The sequence below is a fragment of the Homo sapiens genome, chromosome 7 (genome assembly GCF_000001405.40).
Source record: "Homo sapiens chromosome 7, GRCh38.p14 Primary Assembly".
Lineage (NCBI taxonomy): Eukaryota > Metazoa > Chordata > Mammalia > Primates > Hominidae > Homo > Homo sapiens.
In genome coordinates, this window is record NC_000007.14 from 157,377,042 (window position 1) to 157,404,255 (window position 27,214).

Here is a 27,214-nt window from a genome sequence, read left to right on the forward strand (position 1 = left end):
GTTAAGATAAAAGATCGTGGAGATGAAGGTTCCTTTGAAGTCTCATAGTGGCTGCCCTTAGAGACAATAGATGACAAATGTTTCCTTTTCAGACCTTTAACATGTGCTAGACTTTCAGTTAATCTCTTCAGGATTGGGAGGGTCTGGAAGAAAAAGATCTAGCCATGTTAATAAGACTGTTCACAGATGCACATTTCCCCCACAAAGGATGGCTTTGCAGGACAATTTCAAATGGTTTGTAGGGCATGACTCCCCAGACCCCTTAGGTAGGAATTTGGGCAAGATAAAAAATCAGAACTCAGTCCTCAAGAGTTAAATCCTAATGCTGTTTCAAGTAATGTTTGTACCTCAGGATACAAAGTTAAGGTTTGAAGACCCATTTAAAGATGCTTCTGAAGAGATGAGCATACATGTTTTGCTTTGCAGAATCTGCATGAGTCTAGAGAAACTGCCACTGGGGGAGAAACGTGTATTACAAGGAAGGTGCTCACGACTCTAACCCTCACCACTGTGGAAGCTAGCCAGTAAAATCTGTCAGGACTGGAGCAGTCTCCTCCCCCGGGGTGGGATGGTGTGGGGTGGGGATCACAGGCCCCCAGGTGATTGGTCGAGGCCCATCCACATTAGGGAGGCAAGCTGCTTTACCAGTCTCCTGATCCAAATGCTAATCTCATCCAGAATCACCCAGAAGGATGTTCGGCTCAATATTTGGGAACTCTGTGCATGGCCCAGTTAACCTGAACATGAAATCAACCACATGTCCATCTGTTGTCAACTTGGCACCCATATGCATTTCCTTAACCCAGGGCTTAATCGTCAAGTGAGGGCAAGAACAAGGTCATAGCCACCTAACACGATCCACTATCCCACAGACAACCAACAGTGCACTAGCCCCTTGCCCAGCGCAGGTCACGTTCTCCTGTGATGTTTACGGTTCTCCTTGATACGGGGTAACTTAATAGGCAATATGTGTGTATTACATAAGAGGATAAGAGAGGGAAGAAAACTGCTATGTGCCTAAATATAACATGCATAGATTATATATGACAAGTATTGGTCACAAAATAAGGAGGAAATACTCCAGGCATTGATGGTCCTCGTTCCTGTAACTGGTCCTGTGGACACAGCCACTTTCTTCCACTGCCCATTCTGTGGTCTTGTGGCCTTCAGCAGGCACCTCACTGGTTGTGGTTCTTTCTGGTGAGGTAAAGTAAAAAAGAAGTTGGTAGCACATTTGATTAACACGTGTCTTAAGATTTATTTCTAAGGTATAAAAGTATGATCAGTTGTTTATAAATCCAAAAGTAATAATACATGCTGGGTTTAAGATTTGAAAATGGGAATGAGGTGAGAGGAGGAGGAGGTCTTGCCCCTCCACCCCAGTTGGAGCCCCACAGGAACGTTGTAGCACGTGCTGTATAGTTGTGATGCCCGCGGTCGGAGCCCCACGGGAGCATTGTAGCACGCGCTGTATGGTTGTGCGTTGTAGCGTGCGCTGTATAGTTGTGATGCCCACAGGCTTCCTTGCATTTCTCTCCAGCTCTGCTAGCCACGAACACTTCAAGTCTGCACTTCACATGCTTGCTTGCCTGTGCATGGTTACGCACGCTCAGCAACTTAGTTCCACGTTTTGGGATGAGTTGAGTTCCCTGACGTAGAATTGCTGGGTTGAGGGTTTTTTATAATAAAAATATTGGTTTTATTTTGGGGGCTGAAGGTTTTAAAAGCTTAATACATACTTCTAGATTGCTTTTCAAAACGACAGAAACCAGCACATGATAAGTAGCTCTTACTTGAAATAAGGACTTGTCTGATCTCAAGTGGCAACTTTTAACTGGTCTTTAAATATTATAAATTTTGAAATTATTTTAATGTTTCTTAGCACTGTTTCTGTTACAAATGAGACTTCATTTTTAGGGTAATTTGTGATTTTAATATTTGAAATTATACGAGTTAAAATTCAGTGAATACCTGAATTGTGAAAAATTATATTTAAGCTACAAAATGTCAGTAGAGAAATAAACAAGATAAAGATTTTTTTCATACAAGAAAATGGAACGGAAAAGCATTGGCCTTCTCATAACATAGTACTCAGCCAGCTTTTGAGGTAGCTTCTGTAGATGATGATATAATTATGAATGTCATTGTCTTAATTTAGCTTAGAATGCAAACCAGTTAAAATCACTTGGTTAGTACTGTTACCACTGAGACACGGGTTCAAGATGCATGTAAAAGCTCAGTGCCTTGTGGACAACTTCTAAGGGTTTAGTTGCCATGGATTTAAAGAAATTGTGACTAAACCAATGTTTTAGCATTGATAAATGGGAAATTGCGGAAGGATGTAAACGTAGAGTTTAACTCTACAACTTGGCTTAGGGACTCAGGTATGGACAGTGAGAATAACTTGGTTTAGGGACTCAGATATGGACAGTGAGACTGGCCACATGAGTGCCTTTCTCACTGTCACACTCTTACCCAGGTTGGAGTGCAGTGGCTGTCGACAGGTGTGATCATAGCTCCCTGCAGCCTTGAATTCCTGGGCTCAAGCAGTCCTGCCTCAGCCTCCCAAGGAGGTGGGACTAAAGATGGTGTGCCACCACACCTGGCTAATTTTTAAATTTATTGTAGAGAAGGGGTCTTGCTATGTTGCCCAGGTTGGTCTTGAACCCCTGACCTCCAGGGATCTCTCCTGCCTTGGCCTCCTCAGGAGCTGGAACTACAGATATATGCTAATGTCTTCAATTTATGGAAATGCAGAAATGCCTTTTTTTTTTTTTTTTTTTTTTTTGAGATGGACTCATGTTCTGCTGCCCAGGCTGGAGTGCTGTGGTGTGATCTTAGCTCACTGTATCCTCCACCTCCGGGGTTCAAGCAATTTTCGTGCCTCAGCCTCCTGGGTGGCTGAGACTACAGATGCCCACCACCACTCCTGGCTAACTTTTTTGTATTTTTAGTAGAGACAGGGTTTTACCATGTTGGCCAGGCTGGTCTCAAACTCCTGACCTCAAGTGATCTGCCCGCCTCGGCCTCCCAAAGTACTGGGATTATAGCTGTGAGCCACTGCACCCTCCCGGAAATGCTTTTTAACGGTCACCTCCTAGGGGAGATGAAGAGAGTTACCGCATAATCAGTTTTAACTGTATTTGTAATGTTTGTTTCTTTACCTGGGAGGATATGTTGTAGATACGTGAGATAGAATACCTAAGTGACACAATGGTGTGCAGGCTATGGCTGCAAAGTAGAAAGTTTCTAAATAGCATGCTTGGATTTTTATTTGAATTGGATGAAGTTTTTGTGTCCTAGAGAAATTCACAAAATGTTCCTAGTTTCAGATAAAAGGTTATGATTTAACATCTTTGCTTTTGTTCTTTCTTGTCTTTGAATAGAACAGTGGGGGACGGTAAGGTCTGTTTGCAAAGTACCTATGACCATCTTACATTATTTTTATGGGTGGGGGGCATTGACTGTGGAATGTGGGCAGTAACTTGCACAGTCAGTAACCGTTTGAGTAACTTCTTGTTGGCATCCCCATTCTGGCACTCCTCCTCTAGGTCTCCACCTCACACGCTGGTTTGTGGGCGGAGGGGCAGGTTGGTGCGTGGGGTGTCCGGGCACTGGCTGTGCATGCCTTCTTCCTCTTCTGTCTCTTGGCCACCTTTTCCAAAAAGTCACCAGTGACCAATTCTCCCAGTGTTTCTTTGGGACTCAATGCCTTGGGCTTGGCATTGGGTAAAGCCAACTGGCCAGTTTCATTCTGACGAGCTCTATAGTAGTCCGGTGTGGACCTCTGCCCTCCCTGCTCTGCGGAAGCTTCCTCAGCCTTTGCTTCTCACTATTTACTATTTGCGGGTCCTGGGGGTACCCAGCGTCTCAGGGTTTTGGCTGCCCACCTGTACGTCGGTCCTTTCAAACTGTGGTCAGAGTCAACCTCAGGTGCTGCTTTTCTCTAGTCACTGCATTTTTTTTTTTTAGTAGAGACAAAGTCTTGCTGTGTTGTCCAGCCTGGATTCAAACTCCTGAGCTCAAGGAATCCTCCCACTCAGCCTCCAGAGTAGCTGGATCAAGTCACTCTTGTTCATAACCTCAGTTGCTTCATGAATCTCGATTTCTGCTTGATTTCAGTGCTTGCTGTTGTATCCTTGTGTGCTGCAGTATTTATTGTTAACATTTGTGACTCAAATGTATCCACTCCCTGCTTTGGTTGCTCTGGCCTGCAAGTAGGCCGTACTAATTCTGTAGTTGGTCCTAGCTTGCCTTTGTCTTTACCTTGCATGCGTTTATGTCTTAATGCACCTATTAGGATTCCTTGCTTTTATCACAGGTTTCCCATTTTTCTGAAAAAATTACAGTAATTATTAACGCAGAACCCAGGTAAATTAAAAAGGTTTGTATGCTTTATGAATTTTTAGTAAGTACTCATTGATTGATAACAGCAACAGAGGAAAACAAAACGGTCAGTTCCGATCTTGATTTCCAGGAGCACTTTGTGTTTCCACTTGGCAGCGTGATGCTTCCTCATGTCGGTGATTTTCTGTTGAGACATCTTCAAGCATCATCTTACGTCTGCTTGTTAACATTTGTTCAGATTTGATTTCAGCTAATCCTTAAAAGTTTTTTGAGACATCAAACTTAGAATAAAAGGAATTTCCTTTGCCGAGATTCATCAGGTATTTACACTTAGCTTACATGGCCACACCATTCCTCGTGTGTGTGTGTGTGTGTGTGTGTGTGTGTGGGCGCGCGCATGTTAGGGTAATCCATTTTTCTGTTTGTTTCTGAATTGCTTTGGAGAAGGCAACTCAGACTCCAAGGAATACAACAGCTGCCGTGTGAAGCTTTTCTCACTTTTCCAGTGGTCGTAGCAGGAACAGCGTCTTGACCTCACATCAGTGACGTGAAAAGAGCTGAGTTTGAAGTGCATATTGGTCCTCCATAAAGAATGTGTGTATGTGCTGTTTTTTTAATTAAGTCTGGTAATTTATTTGATACAATGTATTGTAGTTTTAGTTGAATTAAACTAGTTAGTAAAACTGTTGGTGAGGTAGTGTTTCAGTTACTCTGTAGATAAGCTCTTTTGTTAAAACCTCTTAAGTTTTTTGTTCCTGAATATGTTACAAACATCTATTTTCTCTTACTGTAGCTATCACATGAGGAAAAAAACTTGAAAAAAAGACTTCATAGTGTGTGTTTATGTTTGATTTTAGAAGACCCTTTTGAGGACTTCTTTGGGAATCGAAGGGGTCCCCGAGGAAGCAGAAGCCGAGGGACGGGGTCGTTTTTCTCTGCGTTCAGTGGATTTCCGTCTTTTGGAAGTGGATTTTCTTCTTTTGATACAGGTATTAAATCCCTAGGTTTAATCTCTGTTATCTTAACAGCAGTTAGTACTTATAAAATCATAATACTCTTTTAGTTAGAGTGCTTTAAAATATGTGTATACCTTTCGTAGAATAGCATTGTGGATTTGCCAGCTTTTTTTGGTATACAGGTCTGCGCTTAACCTACATTTTCTCCTAATCTTCCTAAGAATGTCGTGCTTGGAAATCTTCTCCTCTTAATATAATAATCAAGGCCAGAATGTAATGAAATTCTTAGTTAAAAAGGGGCAACATATGTTCTGCATCAGTAGGTGGAAAGTAACGCAGTTGGAAAATCTCACTAACCTTCATGCTGTCTAACCTCCTTTGTAGTTAAAACAAAAGTGCACAAATAGCATCCTAGGAGCATCCCACTGGATGGAATCGAAGGCTGGGCCTTACCACTAGCCCAGGCCAGGCTCACTCACTAGTGAAGTGTCAGCCTCACGCACGTAGCTCTTCATAGTTCACCGATGGAAACAAGCTTGTAGACTGGAGTAACATGAATATGCATATATCATGATATGCCTGTGTGTTTAGCCTGAAGAATCCCACTTTTCTCTGAAGCTCATCCAGTTTCTCTTCACAAAGGAGCTTTTTTTTTTGTTGTGTTTTGTTTTTAAATTTAAAAAGAGTCTCACTTTAGTGAGTGCCACTCTTAGTGTAGTGGCACGGTCTCAGCTCACTGCAGCCTCCCGCCTCCTGGGTTGAAGTGATTCTTGTGCCTCAGCCTCCTGAGTAGCTGGGATCACAGGTGTGCACCAGCAGGCCCAGCTAATTTTTGTATTTTTAATGGAGACAGGGTTTTTGTCGTGTTGGCCAGGCTGGTGTTGAACTGACCTCGGGTGGATCCACCCGTCTTGGCCTCCCAAAGTGCTAGGATTACAGGCATGAGCCACCACTCCTGGCCTGGAGCTGCTGTTTTGATTCTCTCATTTTTATTTTTAAGCCTCCACGATAAGAATTGGGAGAGCTTGTTATATAGGGTTCCTTCTTCATCATGGTCAGAATTTTATTTTCTTTGAACATTGCGCTCATGCCATCTAGGTAAGTAGTGAATTCTGCTCGATTGGACCTCAGTTTTGATGTGCTTTCCCTCAACAGATCCTCTCATTTGATACCATGGAATATGCTGACCACAGGTTAAGAAAGCTAGTTAAAAATACCACGTAAATTGTCCTTTTTAAAAGTAATCAGTGGCTCCTGTATGTGTGTTTGTGTGTGTGTGTGTGTGTGTGTGTGTGTGTGGTGGGGGTGTAAGCCTTCTCCACTTCTGAGGTGCCTTACAAAGTATCACAAGAATAAATACTTAGCGAGGCTTAATTGAGACCAGTGCAGTAGCCACCAGCCACGTGTAGCTCCTGAGCCCTGGAGGCCTGGCTACTCCTAACGGAGATCAGCAGGAGTGTGAAATAGTCATTGGGTTTCAAAGATGGAACATGGGAAGCAGTGTAAAATACCGCAAATGATTTTGATTTTTTGTATTTCCAATTGAAATATTTTGGATATACTGTATTAAATAAAATACTAAAATTAATGTCACTAGTTTCTGCTTTTTAGTGAAATCATTAGAAAAGGTAAACTTAACATACCTGGTTCACATATTTCTTCAGGACACCACCAGCCCTAGACAGTATCTGCGCTTAGATGATTGAATCATGTTCAGAGGTATGCGTCATTTGTGTTAATGGGAGCATTTTGGAAACAGGACAAAAGCTCTAACCAGTAGACCAGCTTTAATATCGAAAAATAGGTTTGCTTTAGTGTGACTTGTGAAAGTTTTTAGTGTCCACACTGCGATAATATCCATAATGTATAATTGAGAATGGTGTTCATGAACTGTAGAACCATAGTTTTTTGAGACGAATACTTGTATTCTTTCTGCAATTATTTTAGTTTTTTAATAATTTAGATTCTTATCCCCTGTGGTCCTGTGGCAAAGAGGAGGGAAGCCGATTAGGTTTGCTGTTCTGTGGTGGTGAGGTCACTCTGTTCCTGTGGGGTAAGAGTGTCCATCACAGTCTGTGGAGTTTACAAGCCACGCCAAAGCAAACAGAGCTTGATACCGAGGCTGCTCTGCTGGTTGGAGCTTAATACTGGTCTCGGTTCCAGAATGTTCACATTAACACAACACGTGCTTCATGGTGCCAAGCAGACCACCCACAAGCAGGGGCTGTCTTTGGCATGTCAGAAAAGCTGCTTGGGTCCCGCGAAGCTCTGCATGAGGAGAGGGGGAGGGGAGAGGCTGCACTCTCGCGTTGCCCTAGAGTCCCCACTCAGGGATCTGAGAGACAGTCTTTCCCCCTGGGCACCCCAGCACTTCAGCTGAGGCCTTGATAGTTGCGTCGTTTATTACTCCTCGGTTCTATGCCTTAACATTAAATATTCTGCTACTGAACTTTCAAACTCTTGTCTTTGCATTACTAGTTGACATATTTCTTTAAGCATTTTTCTTTTCTGTTTTCCTGTAGGATTTACTTCATTTGGGTCACTAGGTCACGGGGGCCTCACTTCATTCTCTTCCACGTCATTTGGTGGTAGTGGCATGGGCAACTTCAAATCGATATCAACTTCAACTAAAATGGTTAATGGCAGAAAAATCACTACAAAGAGGTACTGTGGTATTCTGCATTTTATATTTTTAGTAAGCAGGCGTAACGTTTCACTGGTGCCATGTTGCACGTCTCCCAGAGTGTGAAGTAGAGGTTGTTGTATGCTAAATCTGGCGCCATGAAAATCTTTTGCTCTCCAAATTCATTAATTAAAGCCTTTTCTCTTAAATTTTACTTAACTGTTGAATTATTAGAGGGAATCTTTAATGTAATACAGTGTAATAAGTTTCTGCAGCATTGTTAAAATGGTAAAATGGAAAATCATTAATAGTAAAGCCTTTACTGTTTTATAGCCTCTGCATGTATTTAGCATCCGCCTGTACGGTATTTGAGACACAATTTATTTTGTCAGGTTAATTCTATTTTAGGAAAGGAAGATGTGTTGTTGACAGGTTGGCTTCAGCCATGTTTTTACAGCCTGAAAATTACTTATATTCATGGTGTATTTCAGTAATGTCCTTAAACAACTTAGTTACCCTCACACATGCATTTTCTTTACCAGAAAGGTTTTTAAATGAATTTTTTTCCTACAGAATTGTCGAGAACGGTCAAGAAAGAGTAGAAGTTGAAGAAGATGGCCAGTTAAAGTCCTTAACAATAAATGGTAAGGAGCAGCTGCTGCGCTTGGATAACAAGTAATTCAACGCACGCACTTAACAGAAATGTTAAACTATAACAAGCACCATTTGAGGATTAACAGGAACATTTTTTTGAAGATTTCAAACGAACTCGACTTTCAGTATAATTGTACCTAAAGTATTTATAAACAGCTCATCGGAGCCTCTATTTGTCATAGACTTTTGAGTTGATTGTTGGGACCACATAATAGGACCATTTTTTTTTTGTCTTTAAAATTGTTGTAAATCTCTGTATGCACTTTGCTTTTTTATTAAACGTACTCCAAGGTGAGTCTTGACTCTTTAGTGTAGGACAAGATTGTACACTAACACCAGCATGGACCTGCTTTTCATTGTGTCTGAAATGTGAGCCACGTAGTGTCGGCCTGCTGTGAAGTTAACATTGCCAGGACGATTCTTCTACAGAAATAATTTCAATTTTTTTCAGTATTTAGTAGTGAAAGATATTAATACATTAATGGTAATACATTTCTGGTTTAATATAAATTAAGGATGTTTTCTAGTTGTGCATGAATGCTGGCAACTTAGTAAGTTTTGACAATTGTTTAAATATGTAATGTTAAGCTTAGGTTTAAAAAAGTAAAGCTGGTAAACTGGGTCTTTGTCATTTGCTTTAAAAAAAAAAAAAAAGAAAATAAATGCGAATGTGTTGGTGCATTCTTCCTGAGTGGGATCTGGAGCTTTTTTGTGTCTGTGTATGATTTGTGCCTGGGCTTCTAGTGTCACTTTAATAGCGTTTCGTGCTGTTCATTCAGGTGGATGCCGCACCTCAGTTACATGTAGACATTTTCTTCAGTATATTTGAAGTATATGAAGATTTTCATATTGTAAGTTGTGATTTAGCAATTGATCAAACATTTAATTATGGTAACATTTCTACAGGAGAGGGAAGAAACCATTGTATAATTTTTCACTCTTAAAGTATGTTCTAGTTTGATGTAAGATCACTTACGGATCCGGGCGCGGTAGCTCAACGCCTGTAATCCCAGCACTTTGGGAGGCTGAGGCGGGTGGATCACCTGAGGTCAGGAGTTTGAGACCAGCCTGACCAAGATGGTGAAACCCCTGTCTCTACTAAAAATAGAAAAATTAGCTGGGTGTGGTGGCAGGCGCCTGTAATCCCAGCTACTCTGGAGGCTGAGGCAGAAGAATTGCTTGAACCCGGGAGGTGGACGTTGCAGTGAGCTGAGATCGTGCCATTGCACTCCAGCCTGGGAGACAGAGCAAGCCTTCATCTCAAAAAAAAAAAAAAATCACTTTGGGACAGTCAAGGTCTTTTGTTTCTCAGTTTGTAATATCTTTCATGATTACCATTGGTAACTAGAATCCTAGCTGTAGTGAATATTGAACTAGACTTTGACTGAATTTGAAACTGTTTTGGAACTAAACAGCGTGAAAACCGCTAGAAGGACAGGCGGTTCCCTGACAAACAGCGTAGCGTGTTCCATCCGTGCTGGCTTTGCAGGAGGGCATAGAGATTGCTCGGGATACGCCAGAGCCCTTAAGCAACCTCACGTGCTGTTACTGAAAATAAGTAAAAAATATTTTAAGGAATTTCATAGGAGCTCAAAAAAGCATAGCAACAGTTAAGTAATTGGGGACAGTTGAAGTACAAGAAGAACAACGAGTGATGTGCTTGTCTGTTGTGTCGGAAATAACCCAGCACGCGGCACTTCCTGTCTCTGGATAAGGTAGGTATGCAGCCATGGCACGTGCGGGAAAGCGGGACAGCGCCCTCTAGTGTTGGAAATCCCACTCACAACTAGCATTGTGCGATCATAGAGCGCGCTTTTGTTTATGCCATCAGGACGGGTGGTTTTTTGTTACTAAATAAATTCAAGTAGATACTTGGACTAAGGCGTTTTATATTTTTCATTAGTGGGTGGGATGAGTCAGTGCAGCAGCCTTGAGACATCCAGGGATGTCCAGAAATACCAGGAAAATGAAAAGTCTTTACCTGTAATTCTTAAACTAGGAAGCATTTTGCTATAGCGTTGGTACTACACAATTTTAGAACACATTTGGTTGTTCTAGACTTTGTGGAGTGTTTCATGCAACTCTAGCTGTGAACAGTTTACTCAACATGGTGTTACAGGTAAAATATGTTTGACTCCTAAGGAATCTTTCTTGTGAAAATTTTTTTTTGAGGAGGAGGGAGCATTCATTTGTACTTGGGAAAACTACTGTTTTGTTTGTTTGTTTGTTTGTTTGTTTTTTTGAGACGGAGTCTTGCTCTGTCATCCAGGCTGGAGTGCAGTGGTGTGATCTTGGCTCATTGTAACCTCTGCCTCCCGGGTTCAAGCAGTTCTCCTGCCTCAGCCTCCTGAGTAGCTGGGATTACAGGCACCCACCACCACACTCAGCTAATTTTTGTATTTTTAGTAGAGATGGGATTTCACCATGTTGTCAGGGCTGGTCTGGAACTCTTGACTTCAAGTGATCCATCCACCTTGGCCTCCCAAAGTGCTGGGATTACAGGCGTGAGCCACTGCGCCTGGCTGAGAAAATTACTTTTATTCTGTTCTTCCATTGATAGAAGTGTAATTTTATTAAGTTACTAATAGAATAGAAAGCCTATTTGTTGCTGTCAAATCTTACACCTTTCATTTTTAAACCCCGTTAAGTTTATTCCTAGAGAATTCAGTCTAAGGGTGCATGAGAGTACCTTTGAAAAGTTAGGAAATGGCTGTGAGCATTGATACCATCACTCAAGTAAGTGATGGCTTGGAAGAATAATAGCATTTGATTTAAATTACAGTTTTTGGTAAATTCAACAGTCTCTTTACTTGCTGTAGTGTTGAGCGCCTCTGAAAATAGGAAGCTGAACGCTCCTTAACGGCACGTATCTGGTTGTGCACAGCCCCATGTGGTCCCATCCATTCTGGGGTGTGCTGTCTGCTGTGTTTGGTTTGTGCTCAACTTCCCTGTTTGAGATTCTTTTTTAAGTTTTATTTTTAAAGTCTTTAATTTTTAAAAATACTTCAATAGCTTTTGGGGGGGGGGTAAGTGGTTTTTGGTGACGTAGATGCATTATATAGTGAATTCTGAGATGTTAGTGCTGCTGTCACCCAAGCAGTGTATGTTGTACCCAAAGTGTAGTTTTTTAATCCCTGTTTGGCATCCTTTTGTCTGGAGGGCTCAATAATCTGTATTTTTGTCATCTCCTGTTTTCCTATTCCTTGTAGCTCCCCACCCCGTTGGTTTGATTTGAGTGATGGATTATTCCTTATATTTCTATCCTTTATAAAATTTAAGCTTTTTAGATTCCAAAGATTCCAGGCTTGATTTTGGAAACTCGGGGTTTTAAATAATCTGAAAGATGTCAATCAATAGTGGCATCATGGGCGACTTGTCATTCTTCCTCTTGGAAGTCCTTCAATGAGTAGATTTTAGAAGTGGGTAGAGTTAGTGTCACCATTTGCTAAACTTACCTGTGCACCTAGTGTGCTGAAGTAAATGTTCCTTACAATGTGGAAACGCTTGAGGAACACTGTGGGGTGATTGTCTTTCCAATCAATTTTAATTTCTGTTTATTAATTAGAGCTTGAAAAATGCCTGCTTATCCTGTCTTGATTACCTTCTAGATATCATTTCTTTCCGGGAATACTGATCTTGTTTTAAGCACTATAGAATGAATTAGAAACATTTTTATTTGCAGAGGATTCAACGGTAATAAATAATTGGCATATTATCTCTGTTATTGATTGGCAGCAGTGTTGAAATTTAGCCATTAGCATGTTCAGTGACAGAATGGAGGCAGATGTTGTTATTTCGGAGGTTTTCAAGCACAAAATTATGTTTAGTTGATTTGAATACTTGGTTTCGTGGGGTCTGGAGGGGACTGAATTACATAACCCACTGCTGTTTGTATTTTTAAAAACGAAGGCATGAGATCTTACCCTTTGGGGTCTTGATTTCAAAGCCTTTGGATATGGTATTCCTAGCTGTTCTAGGGACGTGGGGGGAGCTAGATGTAGGCCTTGGTACTAAAGTGTGACCAATGGTTGAAATGGGGTAGACCGAAGTCTGTCATTTGGCTACGTTATTTCGTCTTCCTGTTTAAAAAGGTGAAAAGAGGGAATGTCACAGCAGCTATTCCTGTGTTAGAAATCTAGACGTCACTGATTTCCAGAGACAGCAGAGTTTATGATTGGGCGTTAGAAGGCCTGTCCTGGCTTCTGTGCTTTGGTCAGTATTTGCTGCCTTTTGTGCAGGGTATCAGTCGGTCTTACCTAACTGTTCACTAAGGACTCGACTCTGAGCTTTGTGGCCTGGGCAAGTTGCACACTCAGGGCAGACCCCTGACTGCGCTTTGCCCTTTTCCCTGTACCCTGATTGGGAGAAGATTCCTGCCTCGGAGTGCAACCCCAACAGGAATGCAGGTCCTGTGAAGGCAGTAATTCTCGTCTGTCTGGCTGCTGCTGTGTCCTGGCAGGTGTGCCCTGGAAGCATCCCGTGAGTGCTGGCTGCGGAAACCCAGATGGTGGTTGCTGTCCCACAGCCCTTGATTCAGAGATGCCCTGGACCACAGCTGCCTGGAGTGTAGAGCAGAGGCTTACTCCCCACACCCCTCCTGCTGTGCGACCTGCGGCCCAGCCTGCTGTTGGAGGCTTGCCATGTGGATCCGAAGGACCTGCGTCTTGGCTTTACAAAGATTCTCCACTCCTGGGAGCCCTGACTAGCAAACGTCTGTGTAGTGTTGATGCCACACTGCAGTTGTTAACATCGCGTCCTTTTCTGCCCTGTTAGGTTGGTTTCTCTCTTAAACAGGGCAGCGCTGTCATCCCATTCCCCCGCCTGGTCCTTCCTCTTCCCCCTAGCTGGTTACTGAACTGACTGCCATTCAGGCACTGATGGGAAATCACTTCCAGAACTTGCAAAACCATAGAGACCGGAGGTTTTCTGAAGGAGGCTTTGGTGCTGAAACATTGCTGCTGAAACATTGTTGCAGAAATGTGGGGTGGAGCCTCCTTCCTGCCCGTCTCACCCAGGGGATGTGGTTTGCTTCCCGTGTGGTCAGCGCTGTGCTGCGAGCTCTGAGAGGTGACCTTTTCCTCTGCCTTCCCACAGCTGCCCTGAGTTGGCAAAAAGTGCTTTGCCCAAGGACAGGGTCTAATTGATAATGGCGTGTGGGGGAGATGTGGCTCCTGAGGCCTGGAGCATGCATTCATTCATTCCTTTATATTATTTTATATTTTACTTAACTTTTGGACCAGTTCTCTCTCTCTAACCCAGGCTGGAGTACAGTGGTGCAGTCACAGCTCTCTGTAGCCTTCAACTCCTGGGCTCAAGCATTCCTCCCACCTCAGCCCCTAAGCAGTTGGGACTACAGGTGTGCGACACAACGCCTGGCTAACTTTTTGTATTTTTAGTGGAGACAGGGTTTTGCCGTGTTGCCCAGGCTGGTCTTGAACTCTTGGGCTCGAGCGCATCACTCACTTTGGCCTCCCAGAGTGCTGGGATCACAGACATGAGCCCCCACTCCCAGCCCAGAGCATTTTACACCAGATGTCAGGACATTGCTGGTAGGAACAGCAGTTGGAGCAGAAGCTCGGGGTGTGGTCATCAGGGAACTGTGGAGTTTGCAGCCTGCGTGAGACACGTTTCGTACACACATTTCTGCCAAATTGAGAACTTTGCTGCTCGTCAGCTCTAAGCCAAGTAACCTCTTACCCAAAACTTCCAGGGATGCTTTACATAATGCCAGGCCTCTGAGAAAGTCAGCTGCAGAACTTGAACGAGAAAGTGCTGTTTTCCACGAGTCTTTTCAGCCGTATCTTTCCGTGTCCATGGGTCAGTGGTCCCTGCACAGATGAATTGGCACTGGACACGGCCTCCTGCGGTGGCTGCTGGGGGCTGAGCCTTCCCTGCCAGTCCCTGCCAAGCAGGAAAGACAAGTTTCCCTCAGTTGGGGTCTGTGCCCAGCATGAGTGGTCTATCTAGTGAGTGGCTGGGCACAGTTGTCCCCATCCATGGCGGATGCCTGGTGGCAGCACCCACTGGGTCTCAGCCCAAGTCTTCCGTGGATCCTGGCAAAATATTGATGTCCTTTTCCACATAATATTTAAGGTATTTGTGTAGAGTCTTATGTACTTGCAGGAGCAGTTGGTTAAATTAGGTACCTAGAAGTTGAGTAATTGGCTTGAGAAACGTGTGCATTGAAAATCGGTAAGTTACCAGGCGCAGTGGCTCATGCCTGTAATCCCAGTGCTCTGGGAGGCTGAGGTGGGTTGATTGCTTTGAGCCCAGGAGTTCAAGACCAGCCTGGGCAACATGGTCAAACCACGTCTCTACAAAAAATATGAAAATTAGCTGGGCTTGGTGGCGTGCGCTTGTAGTCCCAGATACTCAGGAGGCTGAGGTGGAAGGATCACTTGAGTCAGGGATATGAGGCTGCAGTGAGCCGTGATCGAGCCACTGCACTCCAACCTGGGCAACAAGGAGACCCTGTCTCAAAAAAAAAAAAAAAAAAGGATAGTCATAAATGATTTCTTAGAAGGAGTCTTCTCCTATCAACAACGGATTGGGGTCTGTGTCCTCACGCTTGCTAGTACTGTCTGTCAACAGTTTCTAAAATTTGCGTCTTGGCTATCCAGGGCAAGCATCTTGTGTCACCTGCGTGTGCCTCTTTTTCTGTGGACTTACTCTCTTGATTTTATAGGAGCCCTTTACATGCTAGTTGATTAGTCTTTAGCCTGCTGTGTTGAAAGTGGGTTTTTTTTTTTTTTTTGGTTTTTCTTTTGTTCACGTGACTTACTGTGTGGTAGTCTTAATTATTTACACAGATGTGTGTGTGCGTGCGTGTGCCTGTTACAGAGCTGCCCCATATTTTTATTTTGTAATCCTGTGTGTGTTTACTTTTATTTATTTGGAAAGGTTGTTGTGTGGGAAACAGCCAGCTTTGTCCCAGATTTCTTGCCCGCGTTTCTGCCGGACTCTCGTCCTGTCTGGTTTCTTGCACCCTGTATGGATGGCAGTGTGTGCATCCGGAAGCGCAGCTCCTTTCCAGCTCGTTTCTAGGCCAGTCTTCGTCGTGCTTTCAAATGAAAGGTGCAGTCAGTGCGAGGAACACCCCATGTAGATTTGGGAGAGCCTTTGACACCCGAGAGCCATGTGGCAGACTAATTTTTTTAACATCCTGTTTTACGGACAGCTGTAAAGTGCTGTCTTAATATGTAGGTGTGCACATTTCCTCATTGTATCACTACATGAAGCTGGGAATGCCGTCTGTGTGTGTTTTCTGTTCTAACTTATGGAAAACCAGGAAGTCGGTACGCCTTACATTGCTTTTTATCTCATCACTTTAGTCTTGGTATTCTGATTTTATTATATTTATTTTTTTGAGGCAGTGTCTTGCTGTGTCGCCCAGGCTGGATGGAGTGCAGTGGTGTGATCACGGCTGACTGCAACCCCTGCCTCCTGGGTTCAAGCGATTCTCCTGCCTCAGCCTCCCGAGTAGCTGGAATTACAGGCGCCTGCCACCACCCCTGGCTAATTTTTTTGTATTTTTAGTAGAGACGGAGTTTCACTATTTTGGTCAGGCTGATCCCAAACTCCTGACCTCGAGTTATCCCGCCCTCCTTGGCCTCCCAAAGTGCTGGGATTACAGGTGTGAGCCACTGCGCCTCGCCTATTCTGATTTTAAAAAAGAATTGGAATATCATATTTTTTACAATTGGAAAACTCTATAAATTTTCTAATTTTTACCCTTATTTTTCTTATTGATATAAGTATTTTTGTCTTGTTTTCCAGCAGGCTGATTTTAGTATTTTACTGTGTGATTATGTTTCTGAGAAAGATTAGTTACTGTGTTTATGTCCCAAAATTCCTCTACATGGCACTGTTGGGTTCTCTTGTACCTTGATTTTACTTTGGGTTTTAGATTCTGTAGAGAGGGTGAAGCTCCCGGCCCTGTGATCTTGAGGAGGGTGAGTTGGGAGCCGTCCATGCCCTGCCTACCCCAACACCAGGTTCAGCTGCCTGTGAAGTCATTTGTTTCGTGCACATTTCCTAGTTACTGGTATTTTTTAATCATTAAAAATGTTTTTAAATTATTGATAGTAATTGTACGTATTTGTAGGGTGCATGTGTGCAGTGGGTGATGATCAGATCGGGGTGCATGTGTGCAGTGGGTGATGATCAGATTGGGGTTAATGGCAGAGCCACCTCACAGTTACTGTTTTGTGTTGGGAACATTCAGAGCCTCTCAGAAAACTTTATTTCCTAAGCTGGTTTGTTGAGGGGTTTTCTTTCATATCAGTTTGCTAATTTATGTGTTCACTGGAAGCATCCACGGTGTTCTGAGGCCTGTGATCATGCGCCTTTCTCATTCTTTACATTTGTCCGTGTCTGAAGGTTTCCAAGTGTTTTCCTGTTGGTTTAGTTTCTCTCAAAAGAATACCTTTCTCATATCTTATTATTATCCTGAGTTTTTCTTCCTATTTTGGTTAGTTGTGCTTCTGCAGAATATTTATTTGCAGTACTTTTGTTCATAAATAGGAATGTTAAGAATTGTTTTTAAGTTCGACTTGTAAAACATTTTTGTTGACTTCTAAGTCGTTCTTTTAAATTTCTATTTTCATTCAAAAATAACCCATATGACATCTATTTTTTGGAAGGAAGGGTTAAGAAACAGCAGATGTTGCCTTGTCAATTCTGTGAGCTTGTATTCTACTGGATTTTTTTCTATCTTGCTTAAGAAATGCTGCCCCTGTGTATCTACCTTAAAAAATGTTTAAGTCCAGGCGTGGTGGCTCACGCCTGTATTCCAGCACTTTGAGTGGCTAAGTGGGTGGATCGCTTGAGCCCTGGAGGTCGAGGCTACAGTGAGTCGTGATGACACCACTGCACTCCAGTCTGGTGATGGAGTGAGACCCTGTCTCAGAAAAAAAAAAGTTGAAAATATGAATCCATCTAGAACATTTGTGTGAAGTGGCCTCACTTTTTCCTCCTCTATGGACAATTTGTCCTTCCTCCATGATGAATTGTGATTTAATTTTTAATGATTTGCTTGTCTGCAGCTTTTTTGGGAGGAACTTTATTGGGATTTGCCCATCATGAGTACATTTGTTAAGGATGGGTGCGATTTCCCTCTTGTGAAGAAGCAACACATCACAAGAGCAGATTTTGTCCCCGCCTCTCAGCGGAGCTTAGAACCATACAGAAAGTGGGCCAGACGTGGTGGCTTACGCCTGTAATTCCAGCACTTTGGGAGGCTGAGCTGCGTGGCGGGTGGATTGCTTGAGCCCAGCCTGGGCAACGTGGTGAGACTCTGTCTCCACAAAGAATAGAAAATATTAGCCTGGCTTGGGGGTGCACGCCTCTAGTCCCAGCTACTCAGGAGGCTAAGGTGCGAGGATTGCTTGAGCTGGTGGAGGTCAAGGCTGCAGTGAGCCAGGATTGCACCACTCGGCACTCCAGCCTGGGCAACAGAGCAAGACCCTGTGCCCGCCGCGCCCCCCCACCTCCCAAAAAACCCCAGAAAGCAGAGAGTTAGCTGTTTGTCTTCCCCATCCGGTATTACCAGGGCTGGAAGCATACTTGAGAGCACTACGTTTAATGGGCAGCATTTTGGGAGGGGGCTGGGGGGGGGTTGGTGCTGGGCACATCTGGCCACTTAATGTAGTTAAAGCAATAGCAACTGAATGAAAAGCTCTAACATGAATTCATCGTTTCATCTGTTATCTGACTTTTAACATTAACATATCTAGTTCTGCTTTTGTCTGTCTTTTAAAGAGAATTGCATGGGCAGCTTCTCTGTTTTTCCTGCGTATGCAGGAGCTTAGCTTTGGGCTCCTGAGCTCAGGCCTTCTCAGCTCTGATGAGCTTCAGGAGAGGCAGTTGGAGGTTGAATCTGGGTGGTGTATGCCTTCTTATGGAAGTCCCTGATGGGAAGACAGAGGAGCTCTGAGAAGAAACTAGAATGACTTGTCATTACATTTTTATGTGGAATAAGATTCAGATGTCTTTAGAAAAATAAAATTTTGTGAATATGCGAGTCTGCAAAAGTTACAACATTCATTCTACGTTTTTTCTTTTCTTTTTTTTTTTTTTTTTTGAGACGGAGTCATGCTCTGTCGCCCAGGCTGGAGTACAGTGGGGCGATCTCGGCTCACTGCAACCTCTGCCTCCCTAGTAGCTGGGATTACAGGCCTGTGCCACCACACCCGGCTAATTCTTTTTATATTTTCAGTAGAGACAGAGTTTCACTCTGTTGGCCAGGCTGGTCTTGAACTCCTGACCTCAAGTGATCCACCTGCCTTGGCCTCCCAAAGTGCTGGGATTACAGGCTTGAGCCTGTAATTTTTTTTTTTTTTTTTGGAGACGTAGTCTTACTCTGTCACCCAGGCTGGAGTGCAGTGAAGTGAACTCGGCTCACTGCAACCTCCGTCTCCTGGGTTCAAGCGATTCTCATGCCTCAGCCTCCTGAATAGCTAGGACTACTGGTGTGTGCCACCACGCCCAGCTAATATTTTGCATTTTTAGGAGAGACAGAGTTTCACTATGTTGCCCAGGCTGGTCTCAAAACCCTGACCTCAGGCAATCTGCCCGCTTCAGCCTCCCAAAGTGCTGGGATTACATGCGTGAGCCACTGTGCCTGGCCCCATGTTCCTTTTCAAGATTTAATGATTAAGTGGGCAACAGTTAAATCCCTCCAGCGCCTCAGCCTAACCAGGGAGCGGGGCAGTCTCAGGGCGACGTGTTTCTTGAGGACGCTTAGATGCCTAGGGTTCCGTTTATAAAGAGTTCCTTCAATAAAAATCACACTTAGACTTTATGTAGTGGGCAGTTAGAAACAGGGAACTAAAGACTTTTCCTTTCTCTGCCTCCAGCAAAGCCCAGGCACCCCACCCAGCACCATGCTGTCAGCCGTGGGGACAGGCAGCCCAAGGCTGCAGGGAGAGGGCCCCAGGAGGCCTGGCCCTGTGGGTTGAGGCTGCAGTGCGCCCTGGGCCCCCTCCTCTGCTCTCAGTGTGAGAGTCCACTCTCTCTGCTGCCCTCTGGGGTACTCTGTGGACCGCAGCTGTGTCCATACTAAAACATGACCAAAGGCTGTAATTTCCGGCTTTCATAGCCCTTTGTCAGGGTATCGTATATTGTGAGTTCCTGGGAAATGGGCACAAATCAAAGGGACCCAGTTCGGGGCAGGGAGGCCACAGCGTATCCCCCGAGACTGAGGAACTTCAGACAGTTCAAGTCTAAGGGGTTTTTCAGGCATAAACATCCACCGCCCGCCTCCTTTTCTACATGGGAAGGCCGACGCCACAGTGTGCTTTAGTTGGTTTCCATCTGAAAGGGGTCCTGAACCTGCCACGGGACGTGATGCCAGTGGTAGCTGAATGTGCCTCACTCCAGGTCCTCCTGGAATTATCCTCACCACTCGGCTGAGGGATGCTGTCCACACCCCTCTCACCGATGTGGACGTGTGCACGCGGTGTGTGTGCAGAATCCAGGCTATCAGGATGCTGTGCCGTGGCTGCCCCTGCGAGGCCCGTGTGAAGCCAGCCCCGTGCGTCTGTAGCTACCCCTTGAGGAGTAACCCGAGCGGCGTGCTTCCTGGGAAGTTGCTAAGCTGCGCTGAGGTGGTAACAACAGCATGTGGCCTCCACCTCACGTAAGCATTTGGTGTCTCCTTGAACCTCTGTTGTGCACCAGCACCTAGGAGACACTGAAGAGCCAGACCCAGTCACGGCCGCCCAGCCAGGGAGAGGGGGTGCGGGTGAATGGTGTCCTGCAGGTGCTGGGCCGGAACCTCTGTGTCGCTGCGGTGGTGTGTTCAGCTCTGACATGAGTGGGGATGCCAACCCCAGCAGGGCTTCTGGGAATCTTTTGGCCTTTTGTTGGCGGGGTTTCGTGAGCCTCTTATGCTGGGAGGAATCCAACAGGAGACTTTCCTCCTCATTGTCCTCAGCCTTCGCCCGTGCTCCGATTTCCTCCTGTGTCCCCATGTGTGCTCCAGTGCCACCATCCCTCTCCCAGCTGGGCCCTGGGCACGTCCCCGTGCCGTCAGCCAGTGCGCTCTTGGAGCAGTTATTTCCAAACCGACCTTCACGTCTTCATTCCCTGGAGCCACCTCTTCATAAGTAGCCATGAAGAGTTAATTGTGGCACCTGTTCTCCCTCTCGACCTCTGCCCTTCATCCTTCTCAATTCAGCTTCTATGTCACGAGCCCATCACGTGGCTGGCAAAAGCAAGTCACTGTCCTGTTTAAAACTGTTCAGGAGTCTGGGCGTGGTGGCCCACGCCTGTAATCCCAGCTACTCGGAAGGCTGAGGCAGAATTACTTGAACCGGGAGGCAGAGTTTGCAGTGAGCTGAGATGGCGCCACTGCACTCCAGTCTGGGCAGCAGAGCGAGACTCTTGTCTCAAAACAAACAAAAACTTGTTCAGCCTTCGTACCTGCTCTGCCCTGTGTTTGAAGCCGGGTTCCTAGCGTTTCCCCAGCAGATGGCGTCTGCCATTCCAGGGCTGTTCGATGTGCCTTTGTATCTGCAGAGTGCAGACAGACAGCACTGCCTTGCCACATTGTTTGGAGTCTGTCCACCCTTGAGCTCCCTAGGAGTGAGGGCAGGGTCTTGCTGGGTGTCCCCAGTGCCTGGCACACATTAAATGTTTGAATGAGCCCATCTTCTGATGGGCCAGGCATGCATTTTTGGTTGTTTGAATAATCTGCAGTGTGTGAGTGGTATTCCTAATTTGTGTAAGTAGCGACTAACCCCCCTCTCTCCCCAAAAAAAGTCAAAGAAAGGAGCAGTCTCCCCAGGGGCCTCGTGGATTGTGTGTATTTGGGAAAAGCGTGTTTTTATCTGCAGGAGTTTGTTTTCATCTGCGTGTTATCAGCCAGGCTCCTGCACTCCATTCAGACTCCATTTGGGGAAGAAACTGGAGCCTCTGATAAGATGGCCATGCCCGCGCGGCAGCTGCGGAACATTCCTCTAATAGCTTCTCGATGATTTCAGTGTGTTTTTGGCTTGAGGGGGGGGATGCTGGCAGATCTTGTTTCTGTTTTTAAATTTTATTTAACTGTGGTTACAAAACAGGATGTTTTCTGGTATATTTAGTTCCCCCAATAAAAAGAAACTTGATCTGTTGTAACCAGCCTACATTTTAGTAATTTATAAGGTTTAATATTTAATTCACACACAGGAAGAAGCAGAAATTATACCCAAACAGTAAATTATCTATGGGCTGTAGAATTAGAAGTGACTTGTTTTTTCTACAACTAATGTGTATTGCCTTTTCCGTACAAATTGCTAAACTAAAATTGTTTAAACAATTAGTGGTAAATTTCCAAAGAAGAGTAATTAATGGTATTACATGGAAAGTTTTAAAAGGCTATATAGAAAGATTTTAGAAAATGGTTGGCTTTCAGAAAGTGGTGTTGGCTCTCAGAGGGTGAGGCTGAACGGCAGTGAATGCCCTTTTTTGGTTTTAATTTGGGGAATTTTAGGTTAATTTGTGAGAAGTTGAGTTGTTTTCTTAAGGATGTTTGTAGAAGTTCCGCTGACAAGTTTGTTGGGGGCTCTTCGTGTGAGATCTTGCACGAGTCAGGCTGCTTGACTGGAAGGTTCTCAGCAGCTTTTGCAGGTCGGGTCCCTGTGGCCCCCCGCCATCCCCTGCCTTGTCTGGTGATGCTCATGCCTAGAAGGGAGGTCTTTCGCCTCCTGATGAGTAGGTGCCAGGAAAGTGGCCCTGCCCCTGCTTGGTGCTAAAGAACAGCCCTGACCGCATCAGGACATTTTGGCCAGTGGTGGTCCACGTAGACCGCAGGGGTTGCGTAAGGTTAGGACGGCATTTTCACTGCATGTGATCCAGGTTTGTATCCTTGCCGTTGACCTACAGCTGCTTGCAGCGCTCAGTGCTGGGATGGCGGCACAGGTTTGCGGCCTAGCAGCAGTCGGCCGGGCCCTGCAGCCTGGGTGTGGAGTGGGCCGTGCCCTCTAGGCCTGAGTGCGGTGACATCACCTAACATACCCCTGTTGCTAAGCTGCATGTGACTATATATCTATATATCTCTCTCTCTATCTGTATTTTTTTTTTGGAGATGGAGTCTCGCCCTGTCGCCCAAGCTGGAGAGCAATGGCACAGTTGTGGCTCACTGCAACGTCCGCCTCCTGGGTTCAAGCAATTCTCCTGCCTTAGCCTCTGGAGTAGCTGGGATTACAGGTGCGCGCCACCACCCCTGGCTAACTTTTGTATTTTTAGTAGAGACGGGGTTTCACCACGTTGGCCAGGCTGATCTCAAAATCCTGACCTCAGGTGATCTGCCTGCCTCAGCCTCCCAAAGTGCTTGGATGACAGACGTGAGCCGCCGCACCCGGCCTGTATTTTGTCAGGAGAATATCAGCATGAGTTAAGTTTATGATGCAGGTGTTCAAAGTTTTTGTTTAGTTGGGGAAAGTGCAGTATTTTGTACCACCCAGTAAAGCCTTTGTAAAGCCAAAACATGAAGTAGATATTGATCACTAATAAGGTTTAATACAGTTGGTTTTGCCTTTTTTCGGTTTCTTTGTGAGCTGCAGTAACGGGAAAGCAAGTTCTAGGGAAGTGTGAGCATGAGGTGCTGGGATGCCTGGGTCCCCGCGCCTTTGTGTATGTGCTCGCGTCTAGGGAGTTCTGAACATGGGGGATGCCCGGGTCCCCGCGCCTTCGTGTACGCACTTGTACGTAGGGAGGTCTGAGCATGGGGGATGCCTGGGTCCCCGCGCCTTCATGGACACGCTCGTGTGTGGTGTGCCGTGATGCTTGCTGTGCAGCAGGCCGGCTGGTGGAGAGCTTTCGCTGGCACCGAGCTCTTCTCCTTGGTGTGGCCGTCGGCTCCATCCTGGTCATCCTTCCCTGGTAGGTGTTACTCTAAAGCTGGGTCCTAAACCTGGCAGGAGCTTCTAATGAGAAGGGGCACTTGATCCTCGGGTGGGCTGTGTTTACGTTCTTGGCTCTGGAATTACCTTTGTCTTGCGGTCTCCGCCGCTGGTGGTCTATGTCTCATCACCAGGCTCACCGCCGGGGCTCTTGCGTCCGCCTGGCACGTGTCAGCTGTGGGTCCGGGATGAAGCCCGGGTGGAAGTCGAGGGTGTTGATGAGGCACACAGGTCATGAGGCGGGGCAGGAACTGTGGGTGGGCGAGACGTGAGTGGGTCATGGAAGGATCTTTCTGGAAGTGAGTTGGTCGCTGAATCCTGCAGAGGGGCCTGGCACAAAGGTGTGGAAGGCAGGTGTGCTGGAGTCCCCACCCTGGCCAGCCCTTGGCTTGTTTCTGTGTGTGGCTGTGACCCCGGACTCTGGATTTCTAGGAAGCTGAAAAGGTTTGATGACCTCTTTCTGTCTTAAAAGGGGAGGTGAGGTAAAACCACTCCTGAGAGGGACTTACCCGCTGTGGTCCCTGCTTTGCCGAAGCCCCGGGTTTTGATGGTGCCGGCAGCTGTCGGCCTCCTCGCCTCTGATTTCTCTGGCCCACCACGAGCCCCTCACCTCCTGCAGGGCTTACTGTGACCTGGGCTCCTCCTCCTGTATCAAAGGATTGCTGGCAGTCAGAGCTCTTCAGTCGTGTACATGATTTATATAATTTATATTTCTTTTTTCTTTTTTTTTGAGAAGGAGTCTCACTCTGTTGCCTAGCCTGGAGTGCGATGGCGCCATCTTGGTTCACCGCTACCTCCACCTCCTGGGTTCAAGCAACTCTGCCTCAGCCTCCCGAGTAGCTGGGATTACAGGCACGCGCCACCACACCCCGCTAATTTTGTATTTTTAGTAGAGACGGGGTTTCTCCATGTTAGGCTGGTCTTGAACTCCTGACCTCAGGTGATCTGCCTGCCTCGGCCTCCCAAAGTGCTGGCATTACAGGCATGAGCCACCGTGCTTGACCAACCTAATTTATACTTCTTAAGGAATGGAAAGAGCACAGAGACCTGTTCATATGGTGGATGTAGCAGTTTTTAAAAGCGAATGTAGATTTGAAGTCATGACATCTGTGTGTGAGTTTTTGGGGACATGGTTCAGCTTGTAACAGGGGAAGTAAATCAGGTGTAAAAATGTGTCAAGGTGGGTGGAACTAAGGGGAGAGAGCTGTGACGTGAAGCATTACGCAATAAAGAGGTTCCCGCCTATTAGATAGAAACAGAGGTGGGAACAGGACCGAGGCGGTGTGAGTGTGCCCTGACCTCTGCAGCAGCGGCCCTCCTGCCGCCGTCTCCACGCGCCCTTCCCAGACCTGTTCAGTTTCCCAGCAGCGGGCTGGCGCCTGCCTTCTCTCTGTTGCAGAGGCCGGCTCTTCCTGGATGTGGGCCCTCTCAGGATGGTTGCAAGCCTGGAGCCCACAGGCTGCTTATCTTAGCAGAAGGCCTTGAGGGCTCCTTCCCCTGCGGTCGCTGTGACGGAGGGAGCGTGTCTGCTCTCTGTGGCTTCGGTTCTTCAGGCTGCTGTTGTGTTGAGAGTGGCTTCTGCCGCACTCCGCATTGATAACTGGGTTTCATCCTCGTTGTATTTTCTTATTTTTTATAGAGATGGGGTCTCCCTATGTTGCCCAGGCTGGTCTCGAACTCCTGGGCCCACGTGATCCTCCCTGCTTGGCCTCCCAGAGTGTGGGGATCCCAGGCGGGGTCCACCCTGGCCTTGTCCTCATTTTAAAGACGAGGGGACTGTGGAAGCACAGGGAAGGCGCCTCTTCTTCCCTGAGCTGCACCCCTTCCACAGGCACCCATGCTGCCCGTGCAGTGGCGGGTGCAGCACAGTCCCACTGCTGAGCGGCTTGGCCTGCAGCGAGGCCCCCTCCCACCTGCCATGCTCTCTTGCTGGCCGTGGGGCGGGCGTGGGGTGACAGGGTTGCCTGTGGTGGCCACAGGGCCATGTGTGCTTTGAGTCTGGCGCCGTCATGCTATGCATGGTGTCCATCTCCATTCAGAGACAAACACCTCCCAGGCTGGCCAGACCACTCACACCACTTCCACCTCCGTAGGCCTGAGGGAGCCGGGTCCCAGGGGAGGGCTGTGGGAGTGGCAGGAGAAGTAGCGATGTGTCTTGGGGACGTAGGCCCCAGTCATCCCAGGGGCCTACGGTGCATGGGTGGTCCCAATTTAAAACAAATAAGGAATATGGGGCCTGTGGTTTCTTATTTAAAGTAAGCCACTCTTTGGCCCCTGCACTTTTCCAGGGCAGGGTAAACCGGAACGTTGTTAGAATTGGGAACAGTCATCACCGTGGGCCACGGAGAAAGTCCACGGAACCCCACTTTCTCCATCAGCCTTCTGGTCTGCCTTCGTACTGTGAACCAGGAGTATCTGAGACCGTCTCAGTCAGTGTAGAAAGTTTATTTTGCCGAGGTTGAGGACACGCCCGTGACACAGCCTCAGGAGGCCCTGACGACAGGTGCCCGAGGTGGTCGGGGCGCGGCTTGGTTTTATGCATCTCAGGGAGACATGAGGCGTCCCTACACGCAAGATGTACGTTCCGGAAAGGTGGGACAGCTGGACGTGGGGTCGGGGGCTTCCGGGTCATAGGTGGATAAGACGAATCATTGCATTCTATGAGTCTCTGATCAGCCTTTCACTGAATACACAATCCACATATGAGAGGGGGTAGGGGAAGGGCCACGTGTGCCTTAGTCTGGCTCAGTGAGACAACAGGGCAGAGGAAGCAGTCAGATATGCGTTTGTTTCGGGGGAGCAGAGGGATGACTTTGAGTTCTGTCCTTTGTCTGCACCTGTGAAGATAAGCTGTCCACTGACATTGCCAGGGTGAAAACCCAACAACTGCTCTAGGGTAAAGATCTTGAGCCCCACGGGGAATTTCCTTGTGCACAAATTGTGAGGGAGGTGTGTGGCTTTTTTGTTTGTTTTTTTTGAGACATTGTCTCATTCCTGCTGCCCAAGCTGGAGTCCAGTGGTGCAGTCTCAGCTCGCAGCAACCTTTGCCTCCTGAGCTCACGTAAAGCGATCCTCCCAGCTCAGCCTCCTGAGTAGCTGGGACCACAGGTGTGCACCCCTGTGCCCTGCTGTAGCCACCTTCTTTAGGAATAAAATGGGAGGCAGGTGTGCCCGATGCAGTTCCCAGCTTGCTCTCTCCCTTTAGCTGAGTGATTTTGGGGTCCTGAGATTCATTGTCGTTTCACAATACCTTGTTTCCCAAATTAGCAACCAAAGAGAGCGGTTATACTTGCCCTGGGGCTTTAGGGGGAAGCGCAGCCCACCCTGTGTGGACTCGCAGCGGAAGCAGAGGCTGCTCCAGAGACTGCGGTGCCTTCCTGTCCACCCTGACCCAGGAGCCTCAGTGTTGAGTGAGGGGCACTGGCTGTTTCTTGAGGGTGGGAAGGAACACCTTTTCAGCCTACTGTGCAGGGTTTTTTTTTAAGGCAGGATTTCTGTTACCCAGGCAGGAGTGCAGTGGTGCGATCACAGCTCACTGCAGCCTCGAACTCCTAGGCTCAAGCCGTCCTCCCAGCTCAGCCCCCTGAGTAGCTTAGACTACAGGCATGCACCACTAGGCCTGGCTAATTTTTTCTTTTTTTTTGTAGAGATGGGGTCTCACTATGTTGCCCAGGCTGGTCTCAAACTCTTGGGCCCAAGTGATCTTTAGCCTCCACTTTAGCCTCCCAAAGTGCTGGGATGACAGGTGT

At 46.4% G+C, this 27,214-nt stretch overlaps 1 protein-coding gene across 11 annotated transcripts in view, besides 4 other annotated features; it reads left to right on the forward strand.

Annotated features, from left to right (window-relative positions):
• DNAJB6 (DnaJ heat shock protein family (Hsp40) member B6) overlaps positions 1-27,214 on the forward strand; it is an 80,436-nt gene that overhangs the window by 40,038 nt on the left and 13,184 nt on the right. For 9 of the 11 annotated variants that reach the window (NM_058246.4, XM_006715823.3, XM_005249515.4 and 6 more), the window contains 3 exons: positions 5,205-5,336; positions 7,826-7,967; positions 8,500-8,570. The exons of 1 other annotated variant lie outside the window; for it this stretch is intronic. In NM_058246.4, coding sequence (NP_490647.1) covers positions 5,205-5,336; positions 7,826-7,967; positions 8,500-8,570 — 345 coding nt within the window. Of the gene's footprint in view, positions 1-5,204; positions 5,337-7,825; positions 7,968-8,499; positions 9,284-27,214 lie in introns of those variants that run through there. One more of the 11 variants, NM_005494.3, reaches the window with a different exon arrangement.
• Positions 13,204-13,804: an enhancer, noted in NCBI's record as "H3K27ac-H3K4me1 hESC enhancer chr7:157182939-157183539 (GRCh37/hg19 assembly coordinates)". NCBI's record gives its function as "activates a minimal SCP1, AML or CMV promoter by ChIP-STARR-seq in primed H9 embryonic stem cells {active_cell/tissue: H9 hESC(primed)}" and the evidence as "EXISTENCE:reporter gene assay evidence [ECO:0000049][PMID:30033119]".
• Positions 21,081-21,160: an enhancer, noted in NCBI's record as "active region_26929". NCBI's record gives its function as "activates an Ori minimal core promoter by ATAC-STARR-seq in GM12878 lymphoblastoid cells {active_cell/tissue: GM12878}" and the evidence as "EXISTENCE:reporter gene assay evidence [ECO:0000049][PMID:35858748]".
• Positions 23,642-24,200: an enhancer, noted in NCBI's record as "H3K4me1 hESC enhancer chr7:157193377-157193935 (GRCh37/hg19 assembly coordinates)". NCBI's record gives its function as "activates a minimal SCP1, AML or CMV promoter by ChIP-STARR-seq in naive H9 embryonic stem cells {active_cell/tissue: H9 hESC(naive)}" and the evidence as "EXISTENCE:reporter gene assay evidence [ECO:0000049][PMID:30033119]".
• Positions 24,457-25,447: an enhancer, noted in NCBI's record as "H3K4me1 hESC enhancer chr7:157194192-157195182 (GRCh37/hg19 assembly coordinates)". NCBI's record gives its function as "activates a minimal SCP1, AML or CMV promoter by ChIP-STARR-seq in naive H9 embryonic stem cells {active_cell/tissue: H9 hESC(naive)}" and the evidence as "EXISTENCE:reporter gene assay evidence [ECO:0000049][PMID:30033119]".